Source organism: Homo sapiens, chromosome 1 (assembly GCF_000001405.40).
Source record: "Homo sapiens chromosome 1, GRCh38.p14 Primary Assembly".
NCBI lineage: Eukaryota > Metazoa > Chordata > Mammalia > Primates > Hominidae > Homo > Homo sapiens.
This window is the reverse complement of record NC_000001.11, coordinates 203,372,195-203,400,123: the sequence shown is the minus strand read 5'-3', so window position 1 is coordinate 203,400,123 and position 27,929 is coordinate 203,372,195. Positions and strand designations below refer to the sequence as shown.

At 41.1% G+C, this 27,929-nt stretch overlaps 1 long non-coding RNA gene across 8 annotated transcripts; it reads right to left on the bottom strand.

Annotated features, from left to right (window-relative positions):
* Positions 1 to 31: 31 nt before the first annotated feature.
* On the bottom strand, positions 32 to 27,141 carry LOC102723529 (uncharacterized). Of its 8 annotated transcripts, none has more exons than XR_001738386.2 (8): positions 27,012 to 27,141; positions 25,395 to 25,546; positions 24,711 to 24,914; positions 21,339 to 21,477; positions 20,054 to 20,221; positions 2,997 to 4,131; positions 2,201 to 2,379; positions 1,611 to 1,649 (listed from the first exon to the last, which is right to left on the bottom strand). It is a non-coding gene; the product is annotated as an uncharacterized LOC102723529 (long non-coding RNA). The 8 variants fall into 8 exon arrangements; XR_001738387.2 differs by having other exon boundaries at positions 2,201 to 2,295; XR_922438.3 differs by having other exon boundaries at positions 32 to 1,649; positions 2,201 to 4,131.
* Between the last annotated feature and the right edge of the window lie 788 nt (positions 27,142 to 27,929).

Genomic DNA, 27,929 nt, shown 5'->3' with positions numbered 1-27,929 from the left:
TGTAATGACATAAGTACGTTGCATACCACAATTTTTCATTGAACATTTTATTTGTTGAAATTATCTTATATAAGTCAACTTCAGGTGATTTAGAAAATAAATGTGTTTCGAACATTTTTTAAAAATCAATAGCTTTTTTGTTTGTTTGTTTGTTTTTTGAGACAGAGTCTTACTCTGTCGTCCAGGCTGGAGTGCAGTGGTGCAATCTCAGCTCACTGGAACCTCCGCTTCTCGGGTTCATGCAATTCTCTTGTCTCAGCCTCCCAAATAGCTGAGATTACAGGCATGCACCACCACGCCTGGCTAATTTTTGTATTTTTTGGTAGAGATGGTGTTTCAGCATGTTGGCCAGGCCGGTCTTGAACTCCTGACCTCAGGTGATCCACCCACCTCGGCATCCCAAAGTGCTGGGATTACAGGCATGAGCCACCACGCCTGGCCCCAATTAGTAGCATTTTTATACACAAATAATGACCTAGCTGAAAAAGAAATAACAAACACAATCTTATTTGTGATATCATCAAAAATAAAATAAAATAAAATAAAATAAAATAAAATACTTGGGAGAAATAATCAAGGAGATGAAAGATCTGTACATTGAAAAGTATAAAGCATCAATAAAAAAACTAAAAAAGATATAAACAAATGGAAAGATATTCTGTGCTCATGGATCAGAAGAATTAATATTGTTAAAATGTCCCTATTATCCAAAGCAATATACAGACTTGACACAATTCTTATCAAAATCCCAATGACATTCTTCATGGAAATAGAAAAAAAAAATTCCTACAATTCATACAGAACCACAAAAGACCCCAAATAGCCAAAACAATTCTAAGAAAGAAATACAAATAGAAATCTTCCATTTATTATTCAGGGCTGGATTTGTATCTGGTCCTATAGGCACATTTAGGAAAAGAAACTTCTTCCGGTAACTCCTTAATGTGTGCTTCCAAACTACTTTTTGTGTTAAATTCTTACAGTTTCTGAAAGAAAACTGTTAATGATTAGCCATCCTGAAGGCATTCTGAAGCGTTACATTTCTTGATTTAACAATTACTTTAAAATATAGTAAAAGTTAAAAATTTAAAAATATAGTGAAAAATTACTATATATTTCAAAACCATAGTAAACAAAACAGTATGGTACTGACAGAAAAAAAGACATATAGGCCAACGGAACAGAAGAGACAGCCTAGAAATAATTTCAAACATATATGGTCAACTCATTTTTGTCAAGGGCTCCAAGAGGACAAAATGGGGCAAGGATGGTCTTCTCAATAAATGATGCCAGGAAAACTGGATTTCCACATGCAAAAGAATGACACTAGACCCTTATCTGACACCATACACAAAAATCAACTCAAAATAGATTTTTTTAAAAAAACCTAAATGCAAGATCTGAAACTATAAAACTCCTAGAAGAAAACATGGAGGAAAAGTTCCTGGACAGTTGCCTTGGCAATGATTTTTTTCATTTTCTTTTTCCTTTTTGGTAGAGACAGCATCTCCTTATGTTGCCCAGGCTGGTCTCGAACCTCTGGACTCAAGTGATCCTCCCACCTCACATCCCAAAGTGCTGGGATTATAAGTGTGAGCCACCACATCCAACTGGCAATGATTTTTTGGAGATCGCAGCAAAAGCTCAGGCTACAAAAGCAAAAATAAATAAATGGGGCTACATCAAATTAAAAAGATTCTGCACAACAAAGGAAACAATCAACAAAACAAAATAGCAACTTATGGACTGGGAAAAAATTTTTGCAAACCATATATCCGATAAGGGGTTAATATCCAACATTTATAAAGTACACATACAAATCAATTATAGAAAAACAAATAAACTAATTTTAAAATGGGCAAAGGACCTGAATAGACATTTCTCCGAAGAAGACATAAAAATGGCCAACAGATATATGAAAAGGTCCTTGACATCATTAATCATCAGGAAAATGTGAATCAAAACCACTATGAGATATTATTTTAGACCCTATAGGATGGCTATTATCAAAAAGTCATAGGGGTGTGGGGAAAAGGGAACACTTGTACACTGTTGGTGGGAATGTAGATTTGGTGCAGCCATCATGGAAAACAGTATGGAGGTTTCTAAAGAAATTAAAAACAGAACTACCAGAAGACCCAGCAATCTCTGTTCTGTGACTATATCCCCCCAAAATGAAATAACCACCTTTTTAAAATACCTGCACTTCTATTTTCACGCAGCATTCTTCACAATAGTCAAGATATGGAACCACCCAAGTGTCGATGGAGGAATGGATTTAAAAAACTGTGGCATCTGTATACAATGGAATATTATTCAGCCTTTAAAAAGAAGGTCCTGTCGTTTGGCACAACATGGATTAACCTGGAAGACACTATGCTGAGTGAAATGCGTCAGACAGGAAAAAAAAATAGTGCATGATGTCACTTACATGTGGAATCTAAAAACAAAATCAAATGTGCAGACGCAGATAATAAAACAGCAGTTACTGGGGTGGAAGCAGGCTGGGGAGGAATGGGAGGAAGAAATGGGAAGACGTAGGTCAGAGGATACAATGTAACAGGTGTGTGGAGAGATCTAATGTACACCATGATGGTTGTAGGTCATAAAATCGCACTGTACTTGGGATTCCTACTAAATGACTAGATTGTAGCTGCTCTTGCCACAAAAGCAACAAAAATGGGTAACTGTGCGGAGACGACAGAGATGTTCATTTGCTTTGCTATAGTAAATATTTTACTAACTATGTGTATCCTATAACAGCATGTTGTATACCTTAAATATACACAATAAATTTTAAAATAAATAAATAGGATTGAGCTGGGAAGGAGGAGAAGTTTTTCTGAGAGAAGAACCAGGAGGCTGTAAGGGAGAAGATGTCCTCAACCCAACCCACGGCGCTCTGATGCCCTTTATCCAGCAAACTGCAGGAACTTACTCTTGAGGAGGTTAGTCCTCCTAATTGTCCGATTCAATAGATATTTTTCAGTGCTTACCAGTTTGGACCCCTCTGATGCATTGGACCCTGTTGGTCCCTCTTCTCTGCTGCTGTTGTTGTTGCTTAAAAATAGTTTCATTATATAGCTGATGGCAGTAGTTCTCGGTGATGCTGTCATGGTACATTTTAGCAGAGGTGGGCGGTGAGGTAAAAATAGACAATCAGTAAGTAACATGGCTGGCAAGTGGTTATAAATGTTTAAAGGCAAATAAAGCAAGGAAAGGTGATAGAATGTTTTTGGTAATGTGACATTTGAACACAGACCCAAATGAAGTTAGGGAGAAACCCATGGGGACCGCCTAGGGAAGAGTGCCCCAGAGAAAGGGGACAGCATGTGCAAATGAACGAGGAAGTGTGCAAGAAGTTCAGGGTGGCAAAATCAGAGACCTGGGAGGGGTGGAGATTAGAAGATGAAGTCAGAGAATTAGTAGAAGTAACTAATCATGAGTGACCTTTCCAGCCACATCTGGCATCCAATCAAACCTTAACAGGCATACAAAGAGGCAGGAAAATACGACCCAGGGCCGGGCACAGTGGCTTACACCTGTAGTCCCAACACTTTGAGGGGCCAAAGCGGGCGAACTGCTTGAGCTCAGGAATTCGAGACAAGCCTGGGCAACATGGCAAAACCCCGTCTCTACAAAAAAATACAAAAATTAGCCGGGCGTGGCGGTGCGCACCTGTAGTCCCAGCTACTCGGAACGCTGAGGTAGGAGAATCGCTTGAACCCGGGAGACGGAGGTTTCAGTGAGCCGAGATCGTGCCACTGCACTCCAACCTGGGCGACAGAGCGAGACTCTTTCTGAAAACAAAACAAAACAAAACAAAAAGAAAATATGACCCAGAATAAGAAGAAAAATAAATTGACTGAAACAGAAATGATACAGATGCTAGAATTATGCGGAGCAGAATATTAAAAAGTGATAATATACTCCATGTGTTCACAAAGGTAGAAGAATGTATGAGCATGTTAAGGAGAGATATGGAGAACATAAAAAAAGACTGAATTAAATTCTACAGATGAAAAAATACTGGCCGAGATGAACAGCATCTTAGACACTCCAGAAGAAAAGCTTAGTAAACTTCAAGATACACTAGTAGAAACAATTCAAAATGCAGCGCCGAGAAGAAGTCTGGAAAAAAGAAACCAACAAAGCGTCAGTAAGCTGAGGAACAACATCAGATTGCCTAATATACGTGCCATCAGAGTCCAGAAGAGGGAGCAGAAAAAATATTTAAAGAAAGAATGATTAAAACTTTTCTGAATGTGACAAAACGATAAACCTGCAGATCTAAGAAGCTCAATGAACCCCCAAGCAGGAAAAAAAAACATGAAGAAAACTATATCAAGACACATCATAATTGAATTTTAAGAACTAGTGTTAAAGAGAATGTCCAAAAGCAATGAGAGAAAATCAACAGCAGAATTTTAAGAAGCGTTAAAGGAAGGTTTTTTTGCACAAAAGGAAAATGATGCCAAATGGACATTTGGATTTATACCAAAAAATAAAAGAAATTTCTGGAAATGGTAAATATGTAGATAAATATAAAAAAAGTTAAATTGAAATATCTAAAAGGGATAATTTATTGTTTAAAGCAAAAATAATAGTAATACATTGTGAGGTTTACAACATATATAGAAACAAAATGTAGGGCAACAATAGCATAAAATCTGGGAGAGCAGAAATAGAAATATACTGTTGTAAGGGGCTTATATTTTACACGAAGTGGTAAAATATTACTTGAAAGTAGACTATATAAATTAAAGGTGTGTAGTATAAACTCTAAAGCAACAAATGAAAAAAATGAAACAAGGAGGTATTGCTAATATGCTAATAAAGAAGATAAAGTAGAATCATAGAAATGATTAACCAATAAGAAGACACAAAAAAGGAAAAAGGGAATTAAGAAAAGATGGAACAAACAGGAAACAATTAACAGGATAATAGATTTAAGCCCAACTGTATTAATAATCACATAAAATGTAGTTAGTATTAACACTCTAATCAAAAGGCACAGATTGTCAGATTGGACTTTTTTTTTTTTGAGATGGAGTCTCCCTCTGTCTCCCAGGCTGGAGTGCAGTGGTGAGAGCTCAGCCCACTGCAACCTCCGCCTCCCAGGTTCCAGTGATCCTCCTGTCTCAGCCTCCCGAGTAGCTGGGATTACAGGTGTGTGCCACCATATCCGGCTAATTTTTTGTATTTTTAGTAGAGATGGGGTTTCACCATGTTTGTCAGGCTGGTCTTCAACTCCTGACCTCAAGTGATCTGCCCGCCCTGGACTCCCAAAGTGTTAGGATTACAGGCATGAGCCACCACACCTGGCCGACAGGACTTTTTTTTAAAAAAGCAAGACCCAATTATTTTCTGTCTCTAAGATACCCAAGTTACATATAAAGGCAAAGACAAAACTAGGTACAGTGGCTCGAGCCTGCAGTCTCTGCTACTCAGGAGGCTGAGGCAGGAGGATCCCTTAAGCCCAGGAGTTCAAGGCCAGTCTGAGCAACATAGTGAGATCTTCAACTCCTAAATAAATAAAATAAAAGCAAAGGCAGATTAAAAATAAAAGGATAGAAATGATATACCATGCTAATACTAATCAAAGGAAAGTTGTAATGACTATGCTAATATCAGACAAAGTAGATTTCAGAACAAGAGATATCACTAGGAATAATTAGCATCATTTCATGACGATAAAGGTGTCAATTCTTCAACATAATGTAATAATCCAAAAATATTTATGCACCTAATACCATAGCTTCAAAATACATGAAGGAAAATCTGATAGAAATATAAGAAAAAATAGACAAATCCACAGTTACCGTTGGAGATTTCATCATTTCTATTTCAATAATTGATAAAACTAATAGACAGAAAATAGCAAGGATATTGTACACTTGAGGAACCCTACTAACCTATTGGACCTGACTGACATTTTGAGAACACTCTTCCATATAGCAACAGGATGCATATTTTTTTCTAGTGCTCATGGAACATTTACCAAGATAGACCATCTGGGCCATAAAGTGAGTCACCATAAATTTTAAATGATTCAAATTACACAAAATATATTCTCTGGTCACAAGAGAATTTAATTAGATAATCATAGAAAGATACCTGAAAACTTCCCAAGTATTTGGAAACTAAGCAACACACTTTTTTTTTTAAATTATATTTTAAGTTTTAGGGTACATGTGCACAATGTGCAGGTTAGTTACATATGTATACATGTGACATGCTGGTGCGCTGCACCCACTAACTCATCATCTAGCATTAGGTATATCTCCCGATGCTATCCCTCCCCCCTCCCCCCACCCCACAACAGTCCCCAGAGTATGATGTTCCCCCTCTTGTGTCCGTGTGTTCCCATTGTTCAATTCCCACTTATGAGTGAGAATATGCGATGTTTGGTTTTTTGTTCTTGCGATAGTTTACTGAGAATGATGATTTCCAATTTCATCCATGTCCCTACAAAGGACATGAACTCATCATTTTTTATGGCTGCATAGCATTCCATGATGTATATGTGCCACATTTTCTTAATCCAGTCTGTCATTGTTGGACATTTGGGTTGGTTCCAAGTCTTTGCTATTGTGAATAGTGCCGCAATAAACATATGTGTGCATGTGTCTTTATAGCAGCATGATTTATAGTCCTTTGGATATATACCCAGTAATGGGATGGCTGGGTCAAATGGTATTTCTAGTTCTAGATCCCTGAGGAATCGCCACACTGACTTCCACAATGGTTGAACTAGTTTACAGTCCCACCAACAGTGTAAAAGTGTTCCTATTTCTCCACATCCTCTCCAGCACCTGTTGTTTCCTGACTTTTTAATGATTGCCATTCTAACTGGTATGAGATGATATCTCATTGTGGTTTTGATTTGCATTTCTCTGATGGCCAGTGATGGTGAGCATTTTTTCATGTGTTTTTTGGCTGCATAAATGTCTTCTTTTGAGAAGTGTCTGTTCATGTCCTTTGCCCACTTTTTGATGGGGTTGTTTATTTTTTTCTTGTAAATTGCTTTGAGTTCATTGTAGATTCTGGATATTAGCCCTTTGTCAGATGAGTAGGTTGCAAAAATTTTCTCCCATTTTGTGGGTTGCCTGTTCACTCTGATGATGGTTTCTTTTGCTTTGCAGAAGCTCTTTAGTTTAATTAGATCCCATTTGTCAATTTTGGCTTTTGTTGCCATTGCTTTTGGTGTTTTAGACGTGAAGTCCTTGCCCATGCCTATGTCCTGAATGGTAATGCCTAGGTTTTCTTCTAGGGTTTTTATGGTTTTAGGTCTAACATTTAAGTCTTTAATCCATCTTGAATTGATTTTTGTATAAGGTGTAAGGAAGGGATCCAGTTTCAGCTTTCTACATACGGGTAGCCAGTTTTCCCAGCACCATTTATTAAATAGGGAATCCTTTCCCCATTGCTTGTTTTTCTCAGGTTTGTCAAAGATCAGATAGTTGTAGATATGTGGCGTTATTTCTGAGGGCTCTGTTCTGTTCCATTGATCTATATCTCTGTTTTGGTACCAGTACCATGCTGTTTTGATTACTGTAGCCTTGTAGTATAGTTTGAAGCAACACACTTTCAAAAAAGCCATATGTCAAAGAAAAACTCACAGGGGAAATTAGAAAATACTTTAATCTAAACTAAACATGACATATACAATTACATGGGCTGTAGCTAGAGTAGCGTTTAGAGGAAAATTTGTAGCATTAAACATTAATATTAGAGAGGTAATATCAGATTTATTTTCAGTGACCTCAGCTTCTACCTTGGAGAATTAGGAAAAAGCACAAATTAAAGCCAAAGAAAGGAAATAAAGATAAGAGCACAAAATAATTAAACTTTTAAAAATAGAAAAAAACTAATGGACCCAAAAGCTAATTCCTGGAGAAAATGAATAAAATAGTTGAATCTCTAGCCAGATTAATTAGGGAAAAAAATAGAGAAGACACAAATGATCAACATCAAGAGTGAGGAAGAAGAAGGCAGCATCATAGAACCTACAGACCTTAAAATGGCAATAAGGGAATATTATGACAACTTTATGGTGATAAATTCAACAATTTGGTCTTAACCAATGCTATAAGACTAGAAAAACGAAAAGAGGCATACAAATTGGAAAGAAGGTAGTGGTAGTAAAACTCTCTGTATTTTCAGATTATGTAGAAAATCCTAGGGAATCTACAAAAAAGACTACTAGAACTTTTGTGTGAGTTTAACAAGATTACTTGATAGAAGGTAAAATCAAGTGTATTTGTATATACTAGCAATAAACAACTGGACATTGAAATGTTTTAAGTACCATTTTAACAGCATCAAAAATAGAAAATAGATTAAATTTGAAAAAAGATGTGCAAGACTTTTACACTGAAAAGTATAAAACATTGCTGAGAGAGCTCAAAGAAGGCCTAAACAAATGGAGAAATATTTCATGTTCCTGGATCCAAAGAGTCAATATTGTTAAGATATCATTTCTTCCCATATTGACCTACAATATTACACAATCCCAATCAAAATCCCAGTGGTCTTTTTGTAGATATTTGTATGTAAAGGGAAAAGACCTAGACTAGTCAAAATAGGAAAAATAAGAACAAGGAAGACTTATACTACCTAATTTCAAGATTAATTATAAAGCTACAATAAGCAAGACTGGGTAGTATTTGCATAAAGACAGGCATATAAATCAATGGAACAGAACCCAGAAATAGAGCCATATATACAGTCAATTGATTTTCAAAAAAGGCGCCTAATGACTGAATGAGGAAAAGGAATCTTTTCAACAAATGGTGCTGGAACCATTGGATAACTAAATGCAAAAAAAAAATTACTTCATATCATATACAGAATTAACTCAAAGTGGGTCATAGACCTAAATATAATAGCTAATATATAAACTTGTAGAAGAAAACAAAGGAGAAAATCTTAGTGACCTTAGCTTAAGCAAGCAGAAGCAGCACAAACTATAAAGAGGAAAACTTGGGTCGGGCATGGTGGCTCACACCTGTAATCTCAGCATTTTGGGAAACCAAAGTGGGAGAATTGCTTGAGACTAGGAGTTCAATCCTATCCTGGGCAACATGTTGAGACCCCATGCCTATACACACACACACACACACACACACACACACACACACACACACACACACACACAATTAGCCAGGTGTGATGGTCACACCTATAGTCCTGGTACTTAGGAGGCTGAGGTGGGAGAATCTCTTGAGCCCAGGAGTTTGAGGTCACAGTGAGCTATGATCACACCATTGCACTCCAGCCTGGGTGACAGAGTGAGACCTTGTCTCTAAAAAATAAACGAATAAACATAAAAAAATTAATTTAAAGATCAATATATTGGACATCATTGAAATTGTATTAGTCGCCTATTGATGTTGTCACAAATTATATAAACGTAATGGCTTTTAAAAACCTCATAAATTTATTATCTTACAAGTCTGTAGGTCAGAAGTCTGACATATATCTCCCTGGACTAAAAGTCAAGGTGTTAGCAAGGCCAAATTCCTTTCTGGAGGCTGTAGGGGAGAATCTATGTCCTTGCCTTTTCCAGTTTCTATAGGCTTCGTACATTCCTTGGCTGTGACCCTCTTCCTTCCTCTTCAAAGCCAACAATGGCTAGTTGAGCCCTTCTCATATTGCATCATTCTGACCTCCTCTTCCTCCTTCTTCTTTTGTTTTTCAGGACATTTGTGACTACTTTCGGCCCACCCAGATCATCCAGGATAATCTTTCTATTTTAAGGTCAGCAGATTAACAATCTTAATTCCATCTGCAACCTTAATTCCTCTTTGCCATGAAAGGTAATATATTCACAAGTCCCAGAGATTAGGTTGTAGAAATCTTTGAGGGTGGAGCATTATTCTGTTAAGAGGAAAATTTAAAATTTCTGCTCTTGGAATGATATTGTTACAAAAATAAAAAGCAAGCCGTAGACTGGGAGAAAAGATTTGCAAAACATATATTAAACAAAAGACTTGTATCTAGAAAGTATAAAGAAGCCTTAAAACTCAATAAGAAGACAAACAACTCAATTAAAAGATGGGAAAAGATTTGAAGAGACAGTTCACCAAAGAAGATGTATGGATGGCAAATAAGCACATGAGAAGATGCTCAGTATCATCAGCCAATAGGCGAATGCATTTAAAATCACAAAGAGATACTACCACACACCCTAGAACCAGAAATACCATTTGACCCAGCCATCCCATTACTGGCTATATACCCAAAAGATTATAAATCATTCTACTGTAAAGACACATGCACACGTATGTTTATTGCAGCACTATTTACAACAGCAAAGACTTGGAACCAACCCAAATGCCCATCAATGATAGACTGGATAAAGAAAACATGGCACATATACACCATGGAATACTATGCAGCCGTAAAAAGGATGAGTTCATGTCCTTTGCAGGGACATGGATGAAGCTGGAAGCCATCATTCTCAGCAAACTAACACAGGAACAGAAAACCAAGCACCGCATGTTCTCATTCATAAGTGGGAGTTGAACAATGAGAACACATGGATACAGGGAGGGGAAAAACACACACTGGGGCCTGTCGGGGGGTGGGGGCCAAGGGGAGGGAGAGCATTAGGACAAATACCTAATGCATGTCAGCTTAAAACCTAGATGATGGGTTGATGGGTGCAGCAAACCACCATGGCACATGTATACCTATGTAACAAACCTGCACATTCTGCACATGTATCTGGAACATAAAGTAAAATTAATTTTTTTAAAAAGTAAATACTGTTTGAGTCCATTTATGTAAAATTCCAGATGATTAAATTATAGTAGCAGAAAACAGACAAGTAGTTGCCTGGAGATGGAGTTGGGGAGGAAAAGGTGTGGTGGATTACAAAGAGGCATAATAAAACTTTTGGGAATAATGGATATTGTACTAGTTTTTTATTGCTGCATAACAGATTACTACAAATTTGTTTAAAACAACACACAATTGTCATCTCACAATTACTAGGGGTCAGCAATCTAGGCATGGCTTAGCTGGGTGCTCTGCTCTAGGGTTCCTCACAAGGCTGCAGACTCATCTCAGCGCTTTCCTGGGGAAGGATCTGCTTCTAAGGTCACATGATGATTGGCAGGGTGCAGTTCCTTATGGGTTATTGGACTGAGAGCCTCAGTTTCTCACTGGCTATTGGCCAGGGGCCACGCTCACTTCTTTGCCATGTGGGCATCCCCATAGGGCAGCTCACAGCATGCAGCTTGCTTCATCAAAGGCAGCAAGGGAGAGAGTCTACTGGCAAGATGGAAATTGCACTCTTACATAAAACAATCACAGCAGCGATTTATTCTTTTGGTTAGAAAAAAGCTGTGGGTCCTGCCCACACAATGGGGTTCACAGGGCATGGATACCAGGTGGAGGGGGGACAACTGGGGGCCCTTTTATAGTCTGTCTGCCAGAGGTATGGTCATTTACATGATTGTGCTTATGATTTTATAGATATATATTAATGTCAAAACTTATCAAATTGTGCATGTTAAAATGTGCAGTTTTTGTCCATCAATTATACTTCAACACAGTTGTAAGAAGCTAAGAAACAGGACGGGCGTGTTGGCTCACACCTGTAATCCCAGCACTTTGGGAGGCCCGAGGTGGTTGGATCACTTGAGATCACGAGTTCCAGACCAGCCTGGTGAACATATAGTGAAACCCCATCTCTACTAAAAAATACAAAAATTAGCTGGGCATGGTGGTGGATGCCTGTAGCCCCAGCTACTTGGGAAACTGAGGCAGGAGAATCGCTTGAACCAGGGAGGTAGAGGTTGCAGTGAGCTGAGATTGCACCATTGCACTCCAGCCTGGATGACAGCGAGACTCCTAAGAAACAAAAAGCTTGACAAGCTGATTATAGAATAATACGGAAATGCAAACAGCCAAAGCCAGCTATGACAGAGGAAGGGAGTTTTGCCCTATCAAATATGAAGACTTGTTATAAAACCATTGTAGTTAAGAGTGTGGTATTCATACAGGGATAGACAATCAAGCAGAACAGATTAGAGAACCCAGAAACAGAGCCACATATACGTGGAAACCTGATAAACAACAGAGATGGCATTCTTAAACCAACGGGGAAAGGATGGACTTCTAAATAAATGAGGCAGCGACAATTGGGTATCCATATGGAAAAAAATAAAATTAGATATCTACCTCATAACATTCACAAAAATAAATTTCAGGTGAAGTAGACACCTAAATGTTTCAAAAGCAAAACTTTAAAACTTTTAGAAGAAAATATAGATTTATCTTTATGCCTTTTGTGTAGGGAATAAATTTTTAAAAAATATTGAAAATGTAAGCTACAAAAGAGCAATCAATTTGATTGACTTAAAATTATAATCTTCTGTACAACAAATTACCATCTACTAAATGAAAAGACAAGCCACATAAGAGGGAAAATTATTTACAACTGAATAAAAGATTTGTACTCATATTATATAAAAAACTATTCAGAATCGGCCAGGTGTGGTGGCTCACGCCTGTAATCCCAGCACTTTGGGAGGCTGAGGCAGGCGGATCACGAAGTCAGGAGATTGAGATCATCCTGGCTAACACGGTGAAACCCCATCTCTACTAAAAATACAAAAAAATTAGCTGGGCATGGTGGCACCTGCCTGTAGTCCCAGCTATTCGGGAGGCTGAGGCAGGAGAATGGCATGAACCCGGGAGGTGGAGGATGCAGTAAGCCAAGATCATGCCACTGCACTCCAGCCTGGGAAACAGAGCGAGACTCCATCTCAGAAAAAAAAAAAAAAAAAAAAGACCTATTCAGAATCAGTAAGAAAAGCATAGACCCAGTAGACAAACTGACAAATTATATAAACAAGTAATTCACAAAAGAGAAAACCCCAAATCCTGTATATTTGCAAAAAGATTCTTAACTTTACTATTAATCAGGGGCATGTAACTCAGAAAATTAATGAGTATACCCATCATACTGAAAAATTTTTTAAAGTCTGACAGTACTGGACACTGGGAAGAAAGTGAAAAAATATGAACTCATTCACTCCTGGTTGGAATGTAAACTGGTAAAATCATTTTGGAAGAGAAATTTGGCTCTATCTAATAAAGTTGAAGATGCACATAACTTATTCTTCTGTTAGATACATATTTTAAAGAAAATCATACAGTTGCATAAAGAGACAAAAAAAGTTTATTTCAAATTCTTTTAATAGTGAAAAATTGTAAAACTAAAAGTTCACTAATAAGAATATAATTACATTGAGGTATATTCATACAATATTATACTGTACAGCAATATAAAAGAATAAACTAAAGCTATACATTGAAATATGGACAAAGCTCAAAAAGAATCCAAGTCCTGGTTCCATCACTCATGAACTGTGTGACCTTGGACAAGTCACTAAACTTCTCTCTGCCTCAATTTCCACACCTATGAATAGAGATTATAATTATACAACTTCCTACAGAGGCTGTGAAGATTACACAAGCTCAGTTTAAAGTGTCTACAATGCCTAGTACCTAGTAAGCACCAAGAGCATTAGCAATTATTATTCCTTAAAAAAAAATCTGAGTATTTCAAAATATAATTTTTTTTTTTGAGACGGAGTCTCACTCTGTCACCCAGGCTAGAGGGCATTGACGCGATCTTGGCTCACTGCAACCTCCGCCTGCTGGGTTCAAGCAATTCTCCTGCCTCAGCCTCCGGAGTAGCTGGGACTACAGGCAGGCGCCACCATGCCCGGCTAATTTTTTGTATTTTCAGTAGAGACGGGGTTTCACCATGCTGGCCAGGCTGGTCTCGAACTCCTGACCTTGTGATCTGCCCGCCTCGGCCTCCCAGAGTGCTGGGATTACAGGCATGAGCCACCACGCCCAGCTAAATTATAAAGATTTTTAAAAGTAGCCTTTCCCTGGCCGGGCGCGGTGGCTCACGCCTGTAATTCCAGCACTTTGGGGGGCCGAGGCGGGTGGATCACAAGGTCAGGAGAGCGAGACCATCCTCGCTAACACGGTGAAACCCCGTCTCTACTAAAAATACAAAAAAAAAAAAATTATCTGGGTTTGGTGATGGGTACCTGTAGTCCCAGCTACTCGGGAGGCTGAGGCATGAGAATCTCTTGAACTCAGGAGGCGGAGGTTGCAGTGAGCCGAGATCACACCACTGCACTCCAGCCTGGGTGACAGAGCTAGACTCTGCCTCAAAAAAAAAAAAAAAAAAAAAAAAAGTAACCTTCCCCTTCCCGAAGCCATTAGGTAAGGCAGAGGAAAGTTGGCATCCACAGAGAGGGATGGCTTGTGATGGGGAGTCAGAGCCTGAGCAGGGCAGGGCCATTCACACAGGGGAGAGTAGATTGTCATGGGCTGTGAGATGCTGAGGCATCTACATGGATGGAAAAGGGTGGCTTGCACCTTTTACAGAGCCTGCACGGGGAGACAAGATGTCCACATACAAGGGTGGCCCACTGGAGGATATCAGAGCCCAAGCCAGATGAGGGGGCCATCAACATGGCACAGGGGCAGCAACAGGGATGGGAAATTGGTTACTTACAGGGGGAATAGATTGAAGAAGAAAGCATTTTGTCTTTTCTTTTCTTTTTTCTTTTTTTTTTTTTTTTTTGAAATGGAGTTTCACTCTTGTTGCCCAGGTTGGAGTGCAATGGCACGATCTCGGCTCACTGCAACCTCTGCCTCCCAGGTTCAAGCAATTCTCCTGCCTCAGCCTCCCGAGTAGCTGGGATTACAGGTGTGCACCAACACTCCTGGCTAATTCCCTTTTTTTTTTTTTTTTTTTGAGATAGTGTCTTGCTCTGTCGCCAGGCTGGAGTGCAGTGGTGCAATCTCGGCTCACTGCAACCTCCACCTCCTGGGTTCAAGTGATTCTCCTGCCTCAGCCTCCCGAGTAGCTGGCACTACAGGCACGCACCACCACGCCCAGCTAATTTTTGTATTTTTAGTAGAGACAGGGTTTCACCATGTTGGCCAGGCTTGTCTTGAACTCGTGAGCTCAAGCAATCCGCCCCATCTCGGCCTCCCAAAGTGCTGGGATCACAGGCGTGAGCCACTGCACCTGGCCAAGAATGGTTTTTATAGGGGAACATTTACAATCAATTTGATAATAGGGAACACTCACTTTGAACCCAAATTAAGTCAAATCTTACCCTCACAAAAGAATTCCTCTCTTATTAGTAGACCTGCATTAAAAAAATTTACTCAATAATTATTACAGTTTTAATTTCATCAGTGACAATTTTGCAAAAATTTTTAATTTCTCATTATAAAAGTACCTATATACTATCCTTGATTTTGCCCCCTGGACCACAAAACCTAAAATATTTATTATCTGATCCTTTACACAAAACAGCTGACCCTTGGTCTCAACTAACCTAAATAAATAAATGAGTAAATTCCATGGTTGATGAGAAGTGGGATATCTGAATAGTTTTGAAGTACTGCCCTGCAAGATTCTTTTTAGTTACAAAGGGAAAAGGAAAATGTCACAGTGAGAAGCCCAGCAGACACCAGTTTAAGTAATCAAAGCAAACATCTTCAGTAATAGGACAAACTGGAATTGAGCTCCACCTGCTAGGATGCAGTGGGAACCCAGATCACTCCTGTGATCTTCTTTCCAAAGAGGCAAAACCTGAATCTAATCACACGAAAACAAACAAACCCACACCAATAGAGATCTATTATATAAAATAACTGGCCTCTAATCTAAAATTGTCAAGGTCATGTCAAGGAAAGACTGAGGAACTGTTCCAGACATAAGAGACCAAAGAGACATGGCAACCAAATGCTACACAGAATTCCAAACTGGATACTTTTGCTATAAAGGAGATCCTTGGGACAAATGGCAAAACAGGAATGGGCTCCAGGGATTAACAGGCAATACTATACCAGTGTTAATTTCCTGATTCCCATGGTTGTATTGCAGCTATGCAGCTATGCAACATGCAGCATGTCCTACAAACAAATCCATTGTTTGTAGGACATACACATTAAATTTTTCAGGAGTGCTGGGGCATTGGCTGGTGACTTACTCTCAGCAGTTCAGGGGGAATAAAGGTTTTTGTACTATACTTGCAACTTCACTATACATTTGAGATTATCTCAAAACAAACAAAATGGAAGGCTTTGACAAAGTTAGGGAGTTTTCTATTATTCTCACTTTCCTAGACTCCCTTAGAGCTAGGGATGCACACACAGCTCTGGTGAATGAAACACAAGCAGAAGAGTGCTGGGAATTTATGGGGGAAGCTTGTGCTTTTCTGACACAGACTCCATCCCGTCCTCTATCTTCCAGAACATGGACGTGATACTCAGAGGAAAAGCATTCTGGATTTTATAACACCAAGATGACATATATGAAGAGTAAAACCCTTACACCAAAGATGGCAGAGAGCATGCTCAAAAGATGCTGGCTTCCCCCAAGCAAGACGATTGCCTACTGCAGAAAGCTCTGAGTGGGACTGCAGGGCGGCTCAGGAGGACAGCAGGGAGAGGTCTGTCATTCCGCTGTGCAGTGTGGCCTCTTCCTCCTGCCATCATCCCTGCACCCACCCTTCATGCTGGCTATTACATAAACAAATCATAAAATAAAATATTAATTTAAAAAAAAAACAGAGGAAGAGAAGAAAAGAAAATTACAACGAAAACTTTAAAGTCAGGAAGAGGGCTGGGGACAGTGGCTCACACCTGTAATTCCAGCACTTAGGAGGCCGAGGCGGGTGGATTGTGTGAGGTCAGGAGTTCAAGACCAGCCAGGCCAACATGGTGAAACCCCATCTCTACTAAAAATACAAAAATTAGCCAGGCGTGGTGGTGCACACCTGTAATTCCAGCTACTCAGGAAGCTGAGGCAGGACAATGGCTTGAACCCGGGAGGCAGAGGCTGCAGTGAGCCAAGATCACGCCACTACACTCCAGCCTGGGCTCAATGAGTCAGGGGTGCTGGAGGAGCATTCCTAGAGAGAAGTATTTGGTGAAGAAGCCAACCAAATTTGGGGGTTGTGGAGATAGCCATGGGTGGATAGGGATGTGTGAAACAAGATGCTAATACACAACTCTTTCTTCCTCAGTTTTGAAGGAGAGCCCAAAGGCTTGGCGCAAACTGATAGGTGCAAAATGAGCCCACATTCCAGAGTGAGGGCTAAACCATCTACAAGGGACACACAACTGAGATATTGAAGAACCCACTTTACAACCCTGAGCACATCAAGCACTTACAGGTGTTAAAGATTGAGATGGAAAGTGGGGAGTAAGTGGAGAGAGACAGAACTTGATTTCCTTGGAGAAAGATGGAGAAATGTTCTGAGGAAGAAGCCTGCCCTTCACATGAAAACAAGTGATTGGGGCTTTCAGGAACCACTTGGCGACCATAATAGAAATAAGCGACTGGAGCTGGACCCACGCCTGCAAAGGTAATGAAGGCAAGAACCTGTGGCTGGTTATCTGCCTGGGCATAGCCAAGTAAAGACTGTTGTGTTGGGAAGTAGCCGTAATCCCATGACAGTAGGACCAAAATGCTGATGAGAGCCCAGCAAGGGATGGTGGCCTGGGGATGCTGTTCATATAGCCTGCCTGGAGGAACAATGGGGTCCCCACAAGAGTCTGTATGGTGTGGACTAAAGGATGCATAGGCGCTAAGGGAGGGGTGATGAATGGAGAGCTGGAGGAAAGGCAGGGTCAGTATCAAGGAAGCTGCCAGCAGAGAAGCCCAACCCCTGTGTAAGAAACCTATGTAAGACCCAAGAGAAGAAAGTCAGCTTTAAACACCTGCCAAGGCCAGAAAATTCTGTGCTATCCTACAACAGTACCAGCCGAGCAAGACCTTTCCTGCTCTTTGCATCTCCTCCCTCTCCCAGAGCAGCAGCCCCAGAGGACAAGAGGCAGCCTAGTGAGAAGGGGAGGAGGAGGAGATGTACACAGCAGGGAAACAGATGAAGTTCATCACCATCCATTATTCCCCACTGCAGCTCCTGGCCTGATGCAGACAAAGGCTGAGAGAGAGGAGAAGTTTAAATGTCATAAGAAATTTGGAGTTTTGATTCAGTAGAAAGGAAATAAGTGATGTTTCAAGAGGGAGAGGGGATATCAGCAGGACCAAAGGTCCCAAGTAGACAGGAGATGGGATCGATCCAATGTTTAAGTGGGGATGGGGGTGGGGGAGCTGCCTCAATAGGAGTAAGGGCTGTTGGTCCACTGTAGCTGGGGATTGAGGGCGTGGATTGACTAGGGAAGTGTAGCTGGACTTCCAGGCAGTTCTGAGCCTCGTTAGAGATGCATCATCTTGTATTCAGGGTAGAATCAGTCCACACGGTTGCGGTTTTCCTCTGGCCACGTTTGCTTTCTTGGAATGGTATAGAATGAGCAGAGAGCTGGATCTACATAAGGTTAGGGTTTTGCTGGGAAGGTATGTTGGAGGAAGACCAGGACATGCCCAAAGGGGTGGTTATGAAGGGCCATAGAATCTATACTGGGTTAGGAAGGAAGTGAAGACAGGAGGGGATGAAGGAAAATTTCAGGGCTAGGGTAGCAGAGGTCTTAATGAGTAGGAAGAATTGTGGGCGTGATTGTGACTATAGGCAGCCATTACAGAACAACCCTAAAATGGTAGAAACAAATCTATCAACACCATTCACTCCTACTTTCCCACCCATTGACCTCTTCATTTCTGATTATCTGTTGTTCTGACCCTCTGGTCCCTGGCATGTCCTGTTCATCCTTCAGCAAACTACTAGAGCCGTAAACCCTCCCCCAGTTCTTGGCATTGCAACAACACTAAGAGGGTTTCCCCTCCAACTTTCATTTCCTATTTTCTTTTGTCTTATAAATTTCCACTTCTGGACCTGTGTGCTTTTGATAAAGCTCAGTGATTTTTCAGAAGCTCAGAGGTCAGGACAGATGTGTAACTTTCCCTGACTCCAGTTGGGTAAAGTGTTCTGTCTCTCATGTAAGAATTTTTCCCATGAGAGAGTTCTGGGAGACAAGAAATATCCCAACTCCTCTAGACAAGCTGTAGGAAATAATGGAAAATCTTATGGCCACAGACCCACTAGCACCATCCTGCTAAACTGGTAAAGAGGCTAGAGCTTGAGACCTGGAAAATGCCAGGGTACTGCAGCCAGAGAACTATCCTTAGAGCACAAGGGTCCCGGAGGAATAAAGCTAGATGTTGCCAAGTTGTTTTGACTCTATAAGCTGAAGCATATACAGTCAGGAGCTGCCCAGGCAAGGCAGAACCTGCAACTTGTGTGCTGTGCTGTCTTGGTCAAGTACACATGGTGGGTAGAACCGAAAAAAAAAAAAAAAAAAACCCATACATGGTGTTTTTCAACCTCTGTTCTTTCCCAAGCAGGTGTCTATTCTGCCTTCTGAAGACAAAATCTCCTTAAGGAAGTAGAGCCCTCACTAAATCTCCCATGATACGCCCTGAGCTTCTAAAGGGAGTGATCTTAACACTGGCATATTTATTCTCTGACTCTAAGTAAAAGAGGGACTCCAGCAGCAGTGCTCCGGAGCCAGCCCATCCTGCCTTGCAAGAACTGACAGTGAAATTTTCCAGAACTCTGAGAGCCAGTTGTTAAAGGCATATGTCATTTGAAAATAAATTATATAAACTTAAAATTATATCACATTAAAAATAAAAGTAATAAGTACTCAAAACTCATCACTTGCTAATTATTTTACTGTATTGATTAGTATCTTCACTCTTGAGGTTACATACCCCCTACTGCATCTACGTGGTAGAAATACTCTGAAATGGGGTACTCCTGGGCATCTCCTCCTAACCCCACACTCAGTGACTTCACTTTGGTAGTTCCAAACAGGCCATGGAAATCAGCAAACACTGCAAGGCAATGCCCCACCCCTACCTCCCAGACAGCTGATTGTTAAACCTTTACCAGCACATCACTGGACTCCAGGGGCCCAGGAGGGTCAGTGGGAAGAACCACAGCTTCAGCCCACCCCAGGAGCCTGCCATTTTCCCTGTCTGGTGCATGCCCCCTCCCCTGTGCAGGGAGAGGGCAATACTGCATTTACTCACTTGAAGGGCATCTTGGCCAGATGGTTTCCCTCAGACAGTGGTGCTAAGGAGCTGGCTAGGAAAATATTTTCCCAACTCTGCCTGGCTTCCTTTGAACAGGAATAAAACTGGTTCTCAGAAATGCAGCCAGTAGGTAAGTAAATAAGGCAGCTGTGCTCCGAGTTCCAGCTGAAATAAATAAAACTTATGAGTCTGGTTTGCATAAAGAGAAAGCTTATGGATTCAGATTTTCCTCCCTTCCTGCCCTCTGGTCTCTCTCCTACAACAGGACCCCATGTGTGCCTGCATCGCCCTCCCCGCTTCCCCGGGGATGTGATCACCACCTGGTTGTTCATTGGCTATAGTACAGGATAAACTTGCAGCTTTCTGGACACTTGTTTCCAATGGTGGAGCTATTTATTTCTCTTTTCATAGTAGACATTGCCTAGCCTCCATGGGCCCTTTCAAGGGTCCATGTTCAAGGATCTCCTGTTCTGAGCTGGAATAACCCCCCAGCCCCTGAGTCCATTTGAAGTTAGGTCATTTCACTTGAGGGCCAAGGACAGAAGAAGGAGATGGGGAATCTAGCAGGTTTAGGAATTCAGCTAGATTTCTGACATGCCCTGAAAATAGGTGATTGCCTTTACTACCCTAAAATCTGATGGTGAATTAACCACACACAGATGTACTTTGCACATGCACTTCATGTGAGTATATGCCAGGGGCACTGCAGAAATAGCTCTATTTACTAGTTTCTATTTATTCACATTATGTGTTAGAGTGTGGTGTGTATGTGTATGTATGTGTTAGGGTGTGGTCTGTTGTGAACCCAGATGCAGGTATACATGTATGTGTGTAGACGGGCATATGTGAGGGTCATTTTCTAGATGCCTGGGCATTTAAACGTGTATGGAATTATGTGTGAGTAGCTATGTATGTTTCTCTGTGTCTTTGTATAGGCAGATGTGATTGTGTGCGTGCAGGACTGAGCCTCGTGACTTCTGAAAACCTGGTTGAAATGCTGGGAGAATGTCATCATCTTCTAAAAATAGAGGAGCTGAAATATTTTGAAGAAAGGATTGAACACACACACACATACACACACCCCCAAACACATTTCTGTTTTGAGATTCCCTATGTTCCCTTAAGCCCTGTGTGCAATGGAAAAACACCAAATATTTGCAGTTTTCTGTCATGATAAGGATTGTTGACTTCATCCAGGGACAGAATTTTATCACTCAGTTGTCAGGGGAAGGGTGTGGGAGGGGGCTCTGAAGGGGACAGGTTTAGATGAATCAAGCCTAACCTTGCTTCTCTGCATCTGATGCCATCTGTCTTTAAAACATCTTGGCCTGCTTCCCACCGTTCAAAGGGAAGGAGCTTGTCTCTAGCTGTGGATCCATTTGGCACACAGGCGAGGGAACAGAGGGGCCGTGGTCATCTTCCTTTTGAGGATAAGAAGACACAAAGACATGAGATCCTGTTGTAGCATAATGGGGTTAGAACCAACAGAAAACGTCTACTTCTTTATGAGTTGTGAGATATGATAAAGGCTTTCTGAAGTGTTTGTGAAGTCTGTTCCAGGTGATTCTGAGAGAAGACTCCTAGTTCTCTGAGATGAGTTAGAATCAGAATCACGGAGGTTCATACAATCATCAGAATGACCTCTGGAAGTTTTTGTTTGTTTGTTTTTTGAGACAGAGTCTCACTCTGTCACCCAGGCTGGAGTGCAGTAGTGCAGTCTCGGCTCACTGCAATCTCTACCTCCTGGGTTCAAGCGATTCTCCCACCCCAGCCTCCCAAGTAGCTGGGACTACAGGCGTGCACCATCATGCCCAGCTAATTTTTGTATTTTTAGTAGAGATGGGGTTTTGTCATGTTGGCCAGGGTGGTCTTGAACTCCTGACCTCAAGTGATCTACCTGCTTCGGCCTCCCAAAGTGCTGGGATTACAGGTGTGAGCCACTGTGCCCGGCCAACCTCTGGAATTTGTAAGAATCTTATGTTTATTGGGCATTTATTATAATAGCATGGATCACTGGCTTTGTGTATCAACATACTTAATTTCCATCACAATCATGTAAGGATAATTATTATCCTATTCCACAGGTGAGAAAAATAGCACACAGAGGTGGAGACACTTGTCCAAGGCCACAAAGCTAGTAAATGATGAAATAATTTTTGAATTTTAAAACATAATAAAGAGTTTAAGTAGAAGATTAAATATAGCTGAAGAGAAAATTAGTAAACCCGAAGAGAAATCTGAAGAAATTATTAAGACTAACAGAATACGTAAAGGCATGAAGCAATAATGGAAGATAGAATGAGAAATTGAATAAACATCTAATCAGAATTCCAGAAGGAGAGAAGACAGTGAATATTTGAAGAGAATTTCTCAGAGGAGAAACATGAGTCCATAGATAGAGGATACAACATATACCAAGCAGAATAAGCAAAACTAAATTCGTTACTAGACACATTTCAGAAAAACTGAAAAATAATAGAGTCAAAGAGATCTTATAACCAGTAAGACAGAAAAGAGAAATCACCTGCAAAATAATGGCATAGATTTATTGTATAATCCCCAAGAGTAATAACGGAAGCTCGAAGGAAGTGGAACCATATTGAGAGAAAGAAAAAACAAACCTCTCAACCTGAAATTGTGTACCTAGAAAAATCTGTTCTTCCTAAAGGAGGGTGAAATAAAGATATATTCATAACTCCAGGATTCCAGAACTCATGCTTTTTCCTCTACATTATACTGTTGCTACCAGTTCTCAGATAGTTTTAGATCTGAAGTTTTATAGTCAGTCATACTTCATTTTATTGTACTTTCCTTTATTGCACTTTGCAGACATGACTTTTTAAAAAACTTGAAGGTCGGTGACGACCCTGTGTCAAACAAATCTATTGGTGCCATCTTTCCAACAGCATGTGGCCACTTCCTGTCTCTGTGTCACATCTTGGTAATTCTCATATTATTTCGAACATTTTTATTATTATTATGCCTGTTATGGTGACCTGTGATCAGTGATCTCTGATGCTACTACTGTAATTGTTTTGTAGTATCATGAACCGCACCCACGTAAGATGGCAAACTCAATGGATAAATGTGTGTGTTCTGACTGCTCCCACCAGCTTTCCCCCATCTCTCTTCTTCTCCTTGGGCCTCCCTATTCCCTAAGACACACAACATTGAAATTAAGCCAATTAATAAACTTAGGATAGCCTCTAAGTGTTCAAGTGAAAGAGTCATGTCTCTCACTTTACATGAAAAGCTAGAAACTGTTAAGCTTAGTGAGGAAGGTATGTCCAAAGCTGAGATAGGCTGAATGCTAGGCCTCTTGTGCCAAACAGCCAAGTTTTGAATGCAAAGGAAAAGCTCTTGAAGAAAATTAAAAGTGCTATTCCAGTGAACACATGAATGATAAGAAAGAAAACAGCCTTACTCCTGATAGAAAGTTTTAGTGGTCTGGATAGATCAAACCAGCCACAATACTCCCTTGAGCCAAATCGTAATTCAGAGCAAGGCCCTAACTCTCTTCAATCCCATAGAAGAGGCTGAGAGAGGTCAGGAAGCTGCAGAAGCTAGCAGATGTTGGTTCATTAGGTTTAAGGAAAGAAGTCATCTCCATAACATAAAAGTACAAGGTGCAGCAACAAATGCTGATGTAGACACTACAGCAAGTTATCTAGAAGATCTAGCTAAGGTAACTTATGAAGGTGACTACACTAAACAACAGCTTTTCAATGTAGATAAAACAGGCTTCTTTAAAGAAGAAAATGCCATCTAAGACTTTCATAGCTAGAGAGGAGAAGTCAATGCCTGGCTTCAAAGTTTCAGAGGATAGGCTGACTCTCATGTTAGGGGCTAATGCAGCTGGTGGCTTTAAGTTGTAGCCAATGCTCATTTACCATTTTGAAAACTCTAAGGAATTATGCGGCTAGGAGCAGTGGCTCATGCCTGTAATCCCAGCTCTTTGAGAAGCTGAGATGGGAGAATCACTTGAGCCCAGGTGTTCAAGACCAGCCTGGGCAACAGAGCCAGACCCCATCTCTACAAAATTAAAAAAAAAAAAAATTAGCCAGGTGTGATGGTGTGTACCTGTAGCTGCAGCTATTTTGGAGGCTAAAGCAGGAAGATTTCTTGGGACCAAGGGTTCAAGGCCGTAGGGAACTATGATTTTGCCACTGCACTCCAGCCTGGGCAGCAGAGTGAGACCCTATATACTCTGCCTATGCTCTATAAATAGGGCAACAAAGCCTGGATGACAGCGCATCTGTTTCCAATATGGTTTATGAACTATTTTAAGTCCACTATCGAGCCATACTGTTCAGAAAAAAAGATTCCTTTCAAAATATTACTGCTCGTTGACAATAATCCTGGCCACCCAAGAGTTCTGATGGAGACGCACAAGGAGATGAATGTTTTCATGCCTGCTAACACAACATCCATTCTGAAGCCCATGGATTAAGGAATAATTTCAACTTTCAAGTCTTATGATGTAAGAAATACATTTTGTAAGGCTATAGCTGCCATAGATAATGATTCCTCTGATGAATCTGGGCAAAGTAAGTTGAAAACCTTCTGGAAGGGATTCACCATTCTAGATGCCATTAAGAACAATCAAGGTCAAAATATCAACATTAATAGGAATTTGGAAGAAGTTTATTCTCACCTTCATGGATTACTTTGAGGGGTTCAAGACTTCAGTTGAGGAAGTCATTGCAGATGTCGTGGAAATAGCAAGAGAACTAAAGAGAACTAAAAATAGGGCCTGAAGATGGAACTGAACTGCTGAAATCTCATGATGAGGAGTTGTAGCTTCTGGATGAGCAAAGAAAGTGGCTTCTTAAGATAAAATCTACTCCTGGTGAAGATGCTGTGAACATTGTTGAAGTGACAACAAAAGATTTAGAATATTACATAAACATAGTTGATAAAGCAGTAGTAGAGCTGAAGATTGACTCCAATTTTGAAACAAGTTCCACTCTGGGTAAAATGCTATCAAACAGCATCACATGCTACAGAGAAATCTTTCATGAAAGGAAGAGTCAATCAATGTGGCAAACTTCATTGTCATCTTATTTTAAGAAATTGCCACAGCCACTTCAGTCTTCAGTGACCACCACCCTGATCAGTCAGCAGCCATCAACATGAGTCAAGACCCTCCACTTGCAAAAAGGTTATGACTTGCTGAAGCCTCAGATGTTCATTAGCATTTTTATCAATAAAGCATTTTTAAATTAAGGTATGTACAATGTTTTTTAGACATAATGCTATTGCACACTTAATAGACCCTAGTATAGTATAGACATAATTTTTATATGCACTAGGGAACCAAAAAATTCATGTGACTCACTTGATTGAGATATTCACTGTTGCAGTGGTCTGGAACGGAACCTGCAATATCTCCGAAGTATGCTTATATTACAATAATTACCTTCCAGGAAATTCTTCTTGCTTCCTCTGTTTCCTCCTGCCTCCAATATTCCTTTTAAGGTCAGAGCATTTCTAGGGGGAAAAAATGCCATTTTCATTGGCTTGTATTTAAGGGAGCTCCAGGGTCTAATTCTTTGGAAGTTGTCCTTCATAAAAGGTTCTGAGGAATCAAAACAGCACTGCAGACTGTCACTGTACCCAGTGACAGTCTACAGACAAGAGGGGTGGCGGGCGCAAGCACGGAGCATACCGTGAAGGCCCTGGAACCCTTTCTAGAAATCTTCTGTGCTCCCTTAGAGACCACAGCTTGGTAAACCCTGCACCTTTAAATATCATTTTATTAGAGTGAACAGAGCCTGCAGGCACAGCATTAATCAACTAAGTGTTCCCTTCAGGCCTGGGAGCTGGCGTAGTTTTGCCTTCCCTTTGTCCCAAGGTCAGAAATTACTTTGCACTTCACTTGGCTCAATTTCCCTTTGGATTACCACTAAGATAGCTTTTAACTAAAGGTTTTCTCTCCCTTGAAATGCACCAGACTCTCAGCTAAGACTGCTGGCCTCAGATCACAAATTCCTCCTCCTTTCCCTCCCCTGAGAACTAACTCTGAAGGGTGATTGATTTACTTAACCTTTGTTGGTACAAATATGAAAGGCAGCTGCCTCTCTTCAGCTAACATTTGAACCAGTTTATGTTATTTCTCTCTGTGAGCTGGCATTTCTTAAAGGTCTTCTCTGACCTTACTCCAAAAAAGTGGTAAAGCCCTCCTTACCACTGGCAGAAAATGGGAGGAAATACAGAAGGGAAAAGGGGGCCAAAGTGGAGAGGTGGTGAAGAGGAAGGAGAGTGGTCAGCAGCGTTGGCATTCAGGAGACCGGAGGTGCCAGTAGAAGAGCTGCAGAGTCCCTCCTAGAGTCTGTGCCTCAGCCTCCCCAGGGGTCCCCTTTCCTTCTTCCCTTTCTCCTCCCCACTCTGGGATGGCCTATGCCTCCACTCTGCCCCCAGTCCTCTTCTTTTTCCTGGACCCCAGGACAAGAGAGGACTTTCCCCCTGGGGTCTAAGACTGCCATATTGTTCCCCCTCCAACCTTAATCAAGGTCTCTCAGCCATGGGCCTCTGCAAGTCCTACCCTTCCACCTTGCGTTAGTTAAGATAACACTAACTGCTATAATAAACCTAAAACTCTCTATGGATCAAATATGACAGTAATCTAGTTTTTGGCCAGGCATGGTGGTTCACGCCTGTAATCCCAGCACTTTGGGAGGCTGAGGTGGGAGGATCTCTCGAGCCCAGGAATTTGAAACCAGCCTAGGCAACATAGTGAGTCGAAAGAAGGAAGGGAGGAAGGAAGGAAGGAAGGAAGGAAGGAAGGAAGGAAGGAAGGAAGGAAGGAAGGAAGGAAGGGAGAAAGGAAGGAAGGAGAAAGGAAGGAAGAAAGGAAGGAAAAGAAAGAGAGAGAGAAAGGAAGGAAGGAAGGAGAGAAAAGAAAGAAGGAAGGAAGGAAGGAGGGAAGGAAGGAAAGAAGGTATTTTTTGCTCACATAAAGTCCAAAATGGGTCTTCCTGACTGGCAGGCAGCTCTCCTCTGAACAGTGATCTGTATCTGGGTTCCTTCTATTCTATGGTTCCACCCTCTTCATCCACTGGCTCCCAAAGTGGGAGAGGAAAATCGCAAAGGACTGTGTGGGGTAGACTTACGCACCAGGCCTGGAAGAGGCCCGTGGCTTCTCCTCACATTCCATTGGCTGGAGCCCAGTCAAATGGCCACAAGGGAGGCTGGGAAATGTAGGGTAGCTGTGTTCCCAGGAAGAAGAGGAGCCAGTCTCTGCTCACCCCTGCCTCTTTCTTACTTTCCTATTTTGCCTGTGGTGAAGATATCTTCACCAGATATCTGTTAGGGCTGGTTTTTTAATATGTGGTGAAGCTCAGCTGCTTCGCTTATTTTTCCAGACGGGGATGCCCACTAAGTGTTACCTTCACATCAATCCCCAAACATGGTGGTGGCTCCCTCAGGCACTCCATTGAGAAGCATTTGCAGCCTCTCTGGGTCTTGAGTGCCAGGATTGACTGATGCAGAGTGGGTGTGGCGGCAAGGGTACCATTTTTTGGCCATCTTGCTCAAACAGCATTTTGGGGGTTTATTTCCCCAGCGGCTGTGTGATCCCAATGGTTGGGGCCATCATCCCAGAGGCCCATCACTTTTTTTTTTTTTTTTTTTGAGACAGAGTCTTCATTTTGTCACCCAGGCTGGAGTGCAATGGCGTGATCTTGGCTCACCACAACCTCCACCTCCCAGGTTCAAGCGATTCTTCTGCCTCAGCCTCCCGAGTAGCTGGGATTACAGGCACCAGCCACCACACCTGGCTAATTTTTGTATTTTTAGTAGAGATGGGGTTTCACCATGTTGGCCAGGCTGGTCTCGAACTCCTGACCTCAGGTGATCCACCTACCTTGGCCTC